A 12,547-nucleotide genomic window follows, 5' to 3' on the forward strand; every position below is an offset into this window, starting at 1 on the left:
CCAACCATTCTCCCTACCCGGCCCCCGACCCTCTCCAGGGAGCTCTGTGGACTGTCAAGCCCTGTCTGCAGGTGAGAAGTTACTGTCACTGTTAGGCCTCCCCCAACAGCCCTGGAAGCTGCGGGCTGCAGCCCACCTCCCCGTCCGGATGCTGGGTGCTGACGTTGACTGCAAATGGATGCGCTTCGCTTCCCCTCCCAGCCCACAAGCAGTTGAAAGACAGGAAGGTGGGCCCTCACTTTATGCAAGGCGCTGTGTTCCTGGAAGGGAAATTCTGGGGCGTGGACATTGCATCATTTGAGCCACAGGAGCAGTTCTGGTGGACAAACTTGGTGTGTTTTGGGGCTTATCTTCACAGACATCTGTTTCTCACACTGAAGGTCTCAACTTCCTTATCTCAAAGCCTCAGGGATGGTAACCTGAGAAACAGCTGTTCCACCATCTGATAGGTCTGGGCTTAAATCCTGGCTCGGCTACTTAGGAGCTGTGTGATCCTGGGCATTTTACTTCACCTCTCTGAGCCTCAGTTTCCCCATCCATAAAATGGGGATTATAAAGTCCTCACCTCATCCTGACAGCATTAAATGAAGTGACAGAAATAAAGTGCCCAGCACTGACTCCGCAGGAGTTAGTCAGCTCCCCCACCCTGCCTTGATTTAAAGAAAGACCAGCCAAGGGTAATGGCATGAGGAAATGGAGGTCCAGACAGGCCCAGCCACCTGCCCAACTAAGGTCACTCCATGGGCTGGGTTGAAGCTAGGGCCAGGCCTCCCCGGGTTGCCCTCATCCCAGAGTGGTCCCTGAGTTTAAGGATTATCACCTGGTCCTTGACTGGGCTTGGTGGCTCACACCTGTAGTCATAGCACTTTGGGAGGCCAAGGCAAGAGGATTGCTTGAGCCCAGGGGTTCGAGACCAGCCTGGGCAACATGGTGAAACCCCGTCTCTACTAAAATACAAAAAAAATTAGCTGGACATGGTGGCGTGCGCCTGCAGTCCCAGCTACTCAGGAGGCTGAGTCAGGAGAATTGCTTGAACCTGGGAGGTGGAGGTTGCAGTGAGCTGAGATTGTGCCACTGTACTCCAGCCTGGGCAACAGAGCAAGACTCTGTCTCTTAAAAAAAAAAAATATATCTAGGCATGGTAGCTACTTGGAAGAAGAAGCAGGAAGACCACTCGAGCCCAGCAGTTCAAGACTGCAGTGAGCTATGATGACGTAACTGCACTCCAGCCTGGATGACAAATCAAGACCATGTTTTTAAAAAAAAAAAGGAGGAGAAGAAGGAAGAGAAGGAAGGAGGAGAAGGAAGAGGAGGGAGAAGGAGGAGGAGGAGGAAGAAGGAGGGAGAAGGAGGAGGAGGAAGAAGGAGGGAGAAGGAGGAGGAGGAGGAAGAAGGAGGGAGAAGGAGGGAGAAGGAGGAGGAGGAAGCAGAAAAAAGAAGAAGAATAAGAATTATCATCTGGTCCCAGCCCCCAGTCTCAAGGAAAATCCTGGGTTGCAGAGTTTCCCAAACTGCTTAGTGGGATGCTTAGTGCTTGTTGTGGGACCAACAAGACCGCAAGTCCTGGATGGCTGGGCCTCCTGGCTCAGAAGGAGAGGGCAGATAAGAAGGTGTGGCTAGCATTGGGGGTGCACTGCTTTTCTGGCTTGCTCTCCATCCTGGGGCTAGGCAGGGGCTGAGGGGCTGGAGTTCCTCATCACCTGCGGTTCCTGCAAAAGCAGCTCCAAGTGCCATGTTGAGCACCCATAAGGCCAAGGGGGCTATGGTGAAAATACACCCCAAAGCCCAGAGCAGATGGATGGAGTTCCTCCGTCATTGCACAGCAGCAATAGCAACCTAGGAGGTGGGCCATCATCACAGGTGGGAGCACAGACCCTGATCTCCGTTCACCAGTTTCAAATTCTGTCTTTGCAACTTGTCTTGGGCAAATTCTTCAACTACTGAGCCTGTAAAGCAGAAACAGCAGTAGCTGCCCCACAGGGTTAATGAAGGAAATGAATAAATGAGACAGTGCCTGCAAGGACTGCCCACTGCCTGGCCTGCCTGGCCCAGAATGAATGTGACAAAGCCAGAGCTTTGCCTTGGCCATCATCTCATCAGGTCCTGGGTACAGAGAGGGTCCCTTCTGCCATGGCTCCTGCCTGGTTCTCTCTTCTGCCCAAATCTCTTCATTCCTTGTATTTTTTCATTACAACATAACAAATACACAGGAAAAAAGAAGACTTATTTGCTCCATGCTGTCAGATAGGCAACACTAAAAGATATAAATCCTTCATCAGTTAATGAATTCAATGAAATTACAGTAAAGATTTTGGGGCGGGCACGGTGGCTCACATCTCTAATTTCAGCACTTTGGGAGGCTGAAGCAGGAGGATTGCTTGAGCCCAGGAGTTCCAGAACAGCCTGTGCAACATAGCAAGACCCTGTCTCTACAATAAAATAAAATAAGGGAAAAAAATAAATATTCTAATTTATTTTTTTTTGCTTCTCCAGAAACTTTTAAAATTGATATGGAGGCATATAGACCTCAAATAGCTAAGTCAATCTTAATGAAAGAGGGCATACAGGAGGTGGAGGTTGCAGTGAGTCGAGATCATGCCTGTGCACTCTAGCCTGGGCGACAGAGCTAGACCCTGTCTCAGAAAGAAAAAACAGAAAGAGGGGCATAGAAGGAAGACTTGACCTCTAGACATAAAGATATTACAAGGCCAGTTTGGTAAATGCAACGTGGTGTCTGTGCAGGGATAGGAAAGAAGATCAGTGGAACAGCACAGAGTGCTCAGAGGCAGACCCATGGACACCTGGGGGATTTAATACGTGACAAAGGTGGCATCATTATTTTCAGAGGAGGAAATACCTAAAACTAACACATTAGTTCATGAAGACACATTTAAAATCATTAGTCATCAGAGAGCTGCAGACTGAAATGACAATGAGACCTCATTGTATCCTTATTAAACTGATGAACTAGAAAGCTAGATGGTACCAATGGGCAGGGACGATATGGGAGCCAGGGAGAGTCTAGACTGCTTCAGCTGCCTGGAGAAAAACACAGTGCTTCTGCTGAGCCAGCAATCTTGCTACTGGTTGTTTATCTTGAAGAAACATTCTTCCAGATCTAGACCCCTCTAGACCTGTGTAGCATTGTCTGTGATGGAAGGGAGCTGGTAGCAAATCTGAGTGGTCTGTCCAGCCCACCCAATGTCTGCTGGGGAGTTCCCTCAAGACTGCCCCAAACCGTCAAGAGGTAGGGCCAGTTGGAATTCCAAAGAAATAAACACTAAGCGCCGGGGTGATCCGTATCCATCCAAAGCATTTATTAGGGAAACGTACATAGGGAAGGCTGTAGTGTTCTCATGACAGACAGCAAGAAGGGAGATGAGTCTGTTCATAACGAGGAGGTGGGTTTATGGAGTTTATATGAGTGTTTAAGGGATTCGGTTCAGGGCTGGGGCACGTTTAGCATTTGTTTGATCTTTCCATGTTTCCAGCAACAACCTAAACAACTATCAGTGCCTGGGGACATTGAAAGCTCCCTCTAGAACACCTGGACACCGAGTGCCCGTCACTGGAAGGACGAAGAGGTAATAAGTGTGGATCCACACAATAACGTGGAGAGATCTTAAAAACACAGCCCTTCATGAAAATATAAGAACCAGAAGGATATATTTGTTCAGTCTCATATTAAACATATATTAAAAACACCAGCATGCCAAACAATACTCATTTTGGAAAAAAAAAATACACATCAGAATGGTTACTTTATAGAGGTGGGAAATGAAAGTGGGTATGAAGAGAAAAAGGAATGAATAAATATGTAAAAGGAATGAAGTGTTGCATAGGGTTGAAAAAGGACAATGAAGCCTATGCTGCATCCCACTAGCATAACGCATCACCTGTTTTCCTTTCTCCTCCCTCCTCCCTTCCTGCCTTCATCCCAGCCAGTTCCCCACAGAGGTAATTACGAGTTGCTTAGCACCAAGTCTGAAATACTACACACACTGTCTCGTGAGCTCTCCACAGTGCAATTGATCCTTTAGCACCAAGTCTGAAATACTACACACACTGTCTCGTGAGCTCTCCACAGTGCAATTGATCCTTTACAGCTTATTTTTATGGCTGCATGATATTCCAGCTGGGAGGGGGAACATCATTCTCTATTCATGAGAATTGAGGCAATTCCTAAGTTTCTAGCAGTAACACTAACTGTGCAAACTTGTCAGCACAGTGACAGTCTGGATTCCCTCCTGGCAGCCCTATCCCCTGACCAAAAAAGGCCCATGCACCCCTCCCTCCAAAAATAAAACAGTGAAGATTATATTTTAGGACTGTATTGGTAAAAACACAGATATAATTCAGGGCAGATTCACACTTATATAGTCATTATTATTCTCATTTTTTTCTTCTGAATTTAAAAGAAATTAAACATTTTCATGAGCCACTAGCCTAATGGATAGGTTTTCCCCGTACTTCGAGGTAATGTTCTACATCACAGCTCCGGCCTGGACTAGAACCCAGGACTCAGTCAAGGCAGCCTGGTTCTGTCCACCGCAGCTGGCAGCTACTCCAGGCCCCACACTGGTTTCTGTCTGTCTCGATCAAGGCCACATTCGGCATGCCGTGGGGCAGGGGCTGTGCTGTGCTGGTAAATGTTTAACAACTGGCTGGCTCAGAGGAAAAGCCCTGGTCTTGGCGTTTGCTAATTTTTGTGGTGTAAATAACCCCATGGCCAATTTTTTTTTTTTTTTTTTTTAGAGAGGTTCTCACTATATATTGCCCAGGCTGGTTTTGAACTCATGGGCTCAAAGGATTCTCCCGCCCTGGCTTCCCAAAGTGCTGGGATTACAAGTGTGAGCCACCGTGCCCAGCCCTCTTAATTTTTAATAATGGCTGTGTTTCACAAAAATTTTGGAAAGTTTAACAACTATCAAGTTGATGCCCCACTATACCAGTGCACCGCTGGCAGAAGGACCCATGAAACCTGGGAAGACTACATTTCCCAGAAGCCTCCTCTCCCAGGACCGGCGTTCAGCTTCCCAGGTTGTTACCATGGAGATGGCTAACAGCTAGAGCAGGCTGTCCTCGGAGGGGTGAGGAGGGAGCAAGGGACTTGGGGTGGCTGGACCCTGTCTGGCAGGGAAAGGGTGAGGCTGGTGGCCCCCTTCTGCCTGGGGGCCTCCAGCCCTGATCTTTCTGGGGAAGTTGTTGGTGGGGTGTGTGTGCGTGTTTATGTGTGTTGGGAGGAGGAAGTTGCTGGTGGAGAGGGGGTGCAGGGAAGGGCCGGTGGGTTGGGGCAGAATCTAAGGAACCTTGAGATAAGACTGCCTTCCCCACACTGGGCTATAGCTGAAGAGGCCACCTGTGTAGGGAATAAAGTGCTGTGGGTTCTTCTCCCCAGCTCTGCCTCTGATGGTGTTCTGGGACTGACACGTCGGCTTCCTCTTCAGCCTACTTCTTTCCTTGCCCACCACTCCCCCACCCCCACCATCCCTTCTAGCACTTCCCCATCTCATATCTCTTCCAGCCTGAGACACACAGGTTTCACAACCAGAAATACAGGGGTTCAAATCCCAGACCTGCTACTTACTGGCTGTACCTTAAGCAGTGCACTTAACTTCTCTGGGCCCCAATCTTCTCATCTGCAAAGTGGGTGTCCTCAGTGTCTGCCTCATAGAGTCAGTAGAGGATAAGTGAGATGATCTCCGTACAACCCTCAGCACAGGTCTGACACACAGTAGGCATTCAGCAAACTGTAAATGCCTTGTAATGGTGATGACTGCCCTTCCTGGGCTCATTGTCTCTGGGACCAAGAGGCCAACAAATGGATCTGATCACTGAGAAGTGCTGCTTGGCTAGAGGTTCTCCCCTGAGGATCTGGGGTCCTGAATGGTGTTGGGCTACCTAGGCCTTGGGTGGCTTCCAGCCAGATGAGCATTCGTCCCCTCCTGAGTCCCAGAGCACAGAATGTCAGAATTGGACAGAAAATATCTGCCCTCCCTTCCTACTATAAAGAGAAACTAAGGCACAGAAAGGCGCAGACAGTGACCCAAGGGTCCAGCAGGAGCTACTGGCAAAGCCAGGGTTTCCCCAACCAGGCTCAGTCGTGGCTGGTGGCCAGGGACTCACCTCCCTAGGAGGCCGAGGTGGCCCATGTGGGTGTGGAGTTGGAAATTGGGGCCAGCCTTTATCTGCTGCTCCCTTCTGCCCTCTTGCTCCTGGCTTCACCCAGGGAAGTGGGGGATGATTAGAAAATCAAGGGGATTCTGCTTTTTTTCCTTACTACTCGCCCCCTTTGTCCTGTGGGTTTCGTTTGTTTTCCTCATCTCTGGACCCCCATTTGCCGTAAGGAAAACAGATGTTCGAGGACAGAAATGGAAAGACCCCAGCTGGGAGGCTGCAGATAGTGCATCAGCTGGGATGGCGTTGGGTGGTGTGGAACAGGGACCCCCATAGAAGCTGAGGTTTCTTATATAAGGAAAGGCTAGAGGTGGCACTCCAGGCCTCTGTGGCACTGCTGGGGACCCCAGCTCCCCCATCTCTCGGCCCTGCCGTCCATAGCAGGCAGCTTTAGCCCTCATGTGTGGCCACCTCATGGTCTCGCCTTGGCTGCCCCACCTCCCACTTTATCTCCACATTCCAGGTGGGAGGAGGAGAAGGGCAGAGGGCTCCCCAATCACTTCTGCCCACATCTCATTGGCCAGAACCGGGTCACATCGCAGGGCCACCTCTAGCTGCAAGAGAATCTGGGAAGCTGAGCAATTCAAACCAGGCACACTGCTGCCCCCCACACAACTGGGGTTCTGCCGTATAGAAGAGGAGACTGGATCTTTGGGTAGGTGACTAGCAGTCCCCGCTCAGTGTGGCTCTGCTCTGTGACCACAGGACATATGGTGAGCACATGTGGCGTCTCTGCGTGGATCACAGAATGAAGCCTGTTCTCTGGGCCAACACAGGCCTTGGCCAAGAGAGAGTAGGCTGTGTTACCCCCACCCCCCACTCCCTGTTTGTATGCCCTGGTGCAGGCACCTTCACTCTCTGTGCCTCGGTTCCCAGTTTGATCAGGTGAGATATCATTCACCTGCCATCCTCATTTTTGGGTGGGTTGTAGATCATATCACCTTACCGTTAGGATTTTCTTTAAACCAATCTATTTATTTATTATTTATTTGAGACAGAGTCTCACTCTGTCACCCAGGCTAGAGTGCAGTGGTGCGATCTCAACTTACTGCAACCTCTGCCTCCCAGGTTCAAGTGATTCTCCTGCCTCAGACTCCTGAGTAGCTGGGATTACAGGCGTGTGCCACCACGCCTGGCTAATTTTTGTATTTTTAGTAGAGACGGGGTTTCGCCATATTGGCCAGGCTGGTCTCGAACTTCTGACCTCAAGTGATCCACCTGCCTCGGCCTCCCAAAGTGCTGGGATCACAGGCATGAGCCACCGCACCCAGCCAATTCATTTATTTAAATAAGAAACTTGACAATACTATAGTAATCCCCACAGCATTCACAGTACTTGTCATTGATAACTGTCAGCTGGCACAATGGCTCATGCCTGTAATCCCAGCACTTTGGGAGGCCAAAGCAGGAAGATCGCTTGAGGCCAGGAGTTTGAGCCTGGGCAACATAGCCAGACCCTGTCTCTACCAAAAAAAAAAAATAGCCAGGTGTGGTGGTGTGCACCTGTGGTCTCAGCTACTGGGGAGGCTGAGGTGGGAGGATTGCTTGAGCCTGGGAGTTTGAAGCTGCGGTGAGCCATGATCGTGCTGCTGCACTCCAAGCCTGAGTGACAGAGCAAGACCCTGTCTCAAAAAAATAAAAAATTTAAAAAAAAAGATAACTGTCAAATATACTAAAAGCAAATCGACACGTGCCTTTCCCTGTCCTGTCCTGAGGATGGCTTCCAACCGGAGGCCTGCTTTGTCTTTGTTGTAAAGGAATATTTGCCAGGATTAGAAAGGTGTTACAGATGGGGTAGCACCAAACAGAGACTTTCTCCATGTTTGAAAGGAAGTCAAAGAGGGAATCACTCCCTATGTGTTCGACACCTCCTCAAAACCATCTCCCAGGCCTCCCGGGGATGCCCAGATGGTGTTGGTGGCTCCTGCCTGGGCTGACAGTCGGCCATGGAGTATACTTACCCTTCCCCACAGAGACATTCCATCTCCAGACACCCAGAGACGCTCCAGAATGGAGGTCCTGAGGGAGAAGGTGGAGGAGGAGGAGGAGGCCGAGCGGGAGGAGGCGGCCGAGTGGGCTGAATGGGCGAGGATGGAGAAAATGATGAGGCCAGTTGAGGTGCGGAAGGAGGAAATCACCTTAAAGCAGGAGACGCTCAGAGACCTGGAGAAGAAGCTGTCAGAGATCCAGATCACTGTCTCAGCGGAGCTCCCGTGAGTGTGGCAGGGTGGGGGCCCTGGCAAGGGTAGACCGGGGCTGGGCACAGGGAGACCCAGGCAGAGTGCTGGTGCCTGGTCTGGTAGGGTGACCAGGAGATAGAGGGAAGCAGTTATGAGTGAAGGCTTTCTGCTTTCAAATGGCCTGGGCCGAGTGTCCATGCTCTCCCAACTAGCTGTGTGACCTTGGGCAAGTCACTCAGCCTCTCGGTGCCTCAGTGCCTTTATCTGTCTAAAAGTGCAGGTGCTGGCCAGGCGCTGTGTCTCACATCTGTAGTCCCAGCACTTTAGAAGGAAAAGGTGGGAGGATCGCTTGAGGCCAGGAGTTCGAGACCAGCCCGGGCAACATAGCAAGACCCCCCCACCCATGTCTACAAAAAATACAAAAATTAGCCAGGTGTGGTGGTGCCTATAGTCCCAGCTACTTGGGAGGCTGAGGTGGGAGGGTCACTTAAGCCCAGGAGTTCAAGGCTGCAGTGAGCTATGATTGTGCTATCACACTCCAGCCTGGGCAACAGAGCAAGACCTGTCTCTTAAATATATATATGAAAATGTGCAGATGTTAATGATACCTGCCTTCTCAGTAGCCGTGAGGATTAAATGAGGAAGGGGTAGAGCCAATGGCAACTCAGTGGAACCAGGGCTCCTGTGTGCCAGGCATGGCTTCCCTAATGCCATCCCTGTTGTGGCACAGGGCCTTTACCAAGGACACTATTGACATCTCCAAGCTGCCCATTTCCTACAAAACCAACACACCCAAGGAGGAACACCTGCTGCAGGTGGCAGACAACTTCTCCCGCCAGTACAGCCATCTGTGCCCGGACCGCGTGCCCCTCTTCCTGCACCCCCTGAACGAGTGTGAAGTGCCCGTAAGGCTGGCATGTTGAGGGCAGGGCTGGGGAGCCTGGGGCTGGAGAGCAGAGGGCACAGGGAAGTGGGGCAGGTTCTCCAAGGTCACTGGGCCAAATCACGGACCTCCTGTGGGCCAGAGCGCTTCTAGTCTGGGGGCAACATAAAGTCGAACGCCAGCAGGCCTCAGCAGGCTCAGTGCAGATTACCCTGGAGGGCGGTGGTGGTCTGGAGACCCCATGCCCCCGCCTAAAGAGGCAGCTGCTGATTGCTGCGGGGAAACTGCAGGCCTGGGGTTACCTGATCAAGAGGAGACTCGGGATTTGTGTGGGAGTCTCTGGTTTTTAAATGCTGGCAGCTGACATAAATGCTAAACATTGCCACGTGGGCCAAATAAAGCGGGTCTGTGGGTCCCTGTCAGCTCGTGGGCAGCTGTTTCCCACCCCCTGGATGAATCCCATGTCATTCCATCTACAGATGGAGAAACTGAGGCCCAGAAAGGCTCAGAGACATGCTCTGGGTCACAGGGCTGGAAGGAAAAAGCCAGAGCTTAGGTTCTTATGCCTGTCCTGGTCCAATTTGTCTTATTTCTCTGTCCTTCCCTGGACAGGCTGACCTCTGAGGCTTCAGACTGTACTGGTCGCCAGCTGGCCCCAGCCCAGAACCTCTGTAGGCCCCAGGGAGAGCATCGCTCCTGGGAGGAGAGCACAGTGCTCCCAGGAACCCCAGGAAACAGACCTGATCTCCTCATTCAGCCCTGACTTGCTGGGTCACCTCAGGCAGCTCTCAAGCCTGCTCTGGGCCTCAGGTGTCTCCACAATGCCCTAGGGGTTGAAGGCGGCAAAACTTCAAAGCCCTTCAAAGTCCAGATCCAGAATATGCTTGTGCTGTCTCCGGGTGCTGGCAACATGATAAGGGCCTCCCAGTCATTGCCACTGCGCCACTGATGGCTGCCATGTGCCAGATCTGGGCATCACCTTCCCAGCCAAGGGCTGCTCTGCCACCCCAGGTCATGTGGGCCTGGCCTCCTGCATTTGCTCAGGCCTCTAGGGTCCCCCTGTGGATTCAAGGAAGGCCCCAAGCTTGATCTCACAAGTTCTTATTGCCTTGACCCCACTGGCACCATCTCTCTCCTTGCAGAAGTTCGTGAGCACAACCCTCCGGCCCACACTGATGCCCTACCCCGAGCTCTACAACTGGGACAGCTGTGCCCAGTTTGTCTCCGACTTCCTCACCATGGTGCCCCTGCCTGACCCTCTCAAGCCGGTAAGCACCACTCACAGGCTGCATGCCTGAGCCCACCAGGACTAAGATGGTGTGAGAAACAAACTCACCCATCCAAACCCAAAGAATGGACTTAGAGGCCGGGCGTGGTAGCTCATGCCTGTAATCCCAGCATTTTGGGAGGCCAAGGCGGGCAGATCACAAGGTCAGGAGTTTGAGACCAGCCTGACCAACATGGCGAAACCCCGTCTCTACTAAAAATACAAAAATTAGCAGGGCGTGGTGGCACATGCCTGTAATCCTAGCTACTGGGGAGGCTGAGGCAGGAGAATCGCTTGAACCTGGGAAGCGGAAGTTGCAGTGAGCCAAGATGGCACCACTGCACTCTAGCCTGAGTGATAAGAGCAAAACTCTCAAAAAACTCTCTCAAAAAAAAAAAAAAAAAAAAGAATGGACTTAGAGACCTGGAGAACAGCGAAAGTGAGACTTTTAATGATGGTCTTGCAAGATTGGGTGTCTGATAGGCAGACACACCCAGCATAGTTTTAACAAGCAGTTTATCCCCTAGTGCGCAGGTCCCTCCCCTGGTTCCTCACAGGCTGAGTACTATGGGGTCACAATCTTCCCAGACATCGCCTATTGATTGTTAGGCAGGGGCTTTAGGTGTTTTTTCTAGGGTTGTTTTGCAGCATTTTATTGCAACCCACAATGCATTGCAATCCTAGTTAGCTCAGGGGCTCTTTAAGTATTTGACTTATGACCTGAGTAGCTGGGCAGGCTGATAAGAACAGACAAAGCGAGCTATTTTGCAGACTAGTAAACTTTTATCTTAGGCTAAACTTTTTTGGTTTGAGTGAGGGCAACTAAGGCGGTAGGTAAGGGGGAGGAAGGAGAAGGCTGACAAACAGGCATTGGCTATTCAAGCAGGGGCCTAGTATATCCTGGGGTTTTTGTAGTTTGCTGACCTAAGCCTATTCAAGGCACTTTGCCTTGGAAACGGATCACTGTGTACATGATTTCCTTCAATGGGATGTCAGGCACGGTCTGGGAAAAGGAAGCTCAGCCAGGCTCAGGGTACAGCCTCTCAGGGCCCCTAAGGGCAAACAGGCCTAGAGAGAGACAGCCACTTGCCTGAGGACACACAGCAAGCCTGGGCTTCTGGTTCCCACCTCTTTTCTCCTTTGCATTCAGAGCTTCCCTGCCATGGCTTCAAGCGGTACAGGAAAGAGAGAGGGGAGGCCCGGCTGCCCGTGGCCCTAACCCCATCTTTGGGCTTCTGACCAAATTCGTCAGCTTCTCCTTCAGAATAGAGGGAGGGAGGAAGAAAGGGCAAGGTCAACAGTGGAGAACTGATAAAGGGAGGAGGAGGAAAGGTGGGTATCGAAGGAAGGGGGAGCATTGGAGCAAAACAGTAAACTTACCAGTCAGAGGGCATTAGATCAGACACTCCTACAGTCCAGAAGGTTTCCCCCTATCAGGAAGTCCATAGCCCCTTCAAATGACAGGCAAATGTGAATGGCATGGTGTCTGGTTGTCATTCCATTCTTAGCAGGCTCCCTGACCCCACAAGGGTTAGGGGCCCAAAGCAGGTCCAGCCTGTGCATTGGTCCTGGCTCCCCACCCTGACAGGTGGTGGGCTGTGACCGGTGGGGAGGACAGGCTGGGGCAGCGGGGCCCCAGCTGTGCTGACCGTCCCACTGTGACCAGCCCTCGCACCTGTACTCCTCGACCACTGTGCTCAAGTACCAGAAGGGGAACTGCTTTGACTTCAGTACGCTGCTCTGCTCCATGCTTATCGGCTCTGGCTATGATGCTTACTGCGTCAACGGCTACGGCTCGCTGGACCTGTGCCACATGGACCTGACGCGGGAGGTGTGCCCACTCACTGTGAAGCCCAAGGAGGTATGGTCGGGCTTGAGCTGCCCGGGTTTCCCAAAGGATGAACATTCCCGGTGCTGTCGTGCCATCCTTAGAGACGTCCATCACTGCCGCCTCATCCCCAGCCCTGGCCACGCGGACACAGATCCCTCACCACCAGCCCTTCCGCTGCCCTGGAGTTCATATTTCAAACCACCAGTGAT

General features: G+C 51.5%; 1 protein-coding gene across 8 annotated transcripts in view, besides 3 other annotated features; it reads left to right on the forward strand.

Annotated features, from left to right (window-relative positions):
• Positions 80-189: an enhancer, noted in NCBI's record as "active region_10907". NCBI's record gives its function as "activates an Ori minimal core promoter by ATAC-STARR-seq in GM12878 lymphoblastoid cells {active_cell/tissue: GM12878}" and the evidence as "EXISTENCE:reporter gene assay evidence [ECO:0000049][PMID:35858748]".
• Positions 330-379: an enhancer, noted in NCBI's record as "active region_10908". NCBI's record gives its function as "activates an Ori minimal core promoter by ATAC-STARR-seq in GM12878 lymphoblastoid cells {active_cell/tissue: GM12878}" and the evidence as "EXISTENCE:reporter gene assay evidence [ECO:0000049][PMID:35858748]".
• Positions 430-479: an enhancer, noted in NCBI's record as "active region_10909". NCBI's record gives its function as "activates an Ori minimal core promoter by ATAC-STARR-seq in GM12878 lymphoblastoid cells {active_cell/tissue: GM12878}" and the evidence as "EXISTENCE:reporter gene assay evidence [ECO:0000049][PMID:35858748]".
• The window catches only part of DRC7 (dynein regulatory complex subunit 7), a 37,000-nt gene continuing 29,496 nt past the window's right edge, over positions 5,044-12,547 (forward strand). For 2 of the 8 annotated variants that reach the window (XM_047434768.1, XM_047434770.1), the window contains exons 1-6: positions 5,044-5,090; positions 6,641-6,832; positions 8,151-8,390; positions 9,088-9,262; positions 10,383-10,508; positions 12,174-12,368. In XM_047434768.1, coding sequence (XP_047290724.1) covers positions 8,188-8,390; positions 9,088-9,262; positions 10,383-10,508; positions 12,174-12,368 — 699 coding nt within the window. In that variant the 5' untranslated portion in view covers positions 5,044-5,090; positions 6,641-6,832; positions 8,151-8,187. The remainder of the gene's footprint in view (positions 5,091-6,640; positions 6,833-8,150; positions 8,391-9,087; positions 9,263-10,382; positions 10,509-12,173; positions 12,369-12,547) is intronic. The other 6 variants (NM_001289162.2, XM_047434769.1, XM_047434771.1 and 3 more) reach the window with 4 other exon arrangements.

Source organism: Homo sapiens, chromosome 16 (genome assembly GCF_000001405.40).
Source record: "Homo sapiens chromosome 16, GRCh38.p14 Primary Assembly".
NCBI lineage: Eukaryota > Metazoa > Chordata > Mammalia > Primates > Hominidae > Homo > Homo sapiens.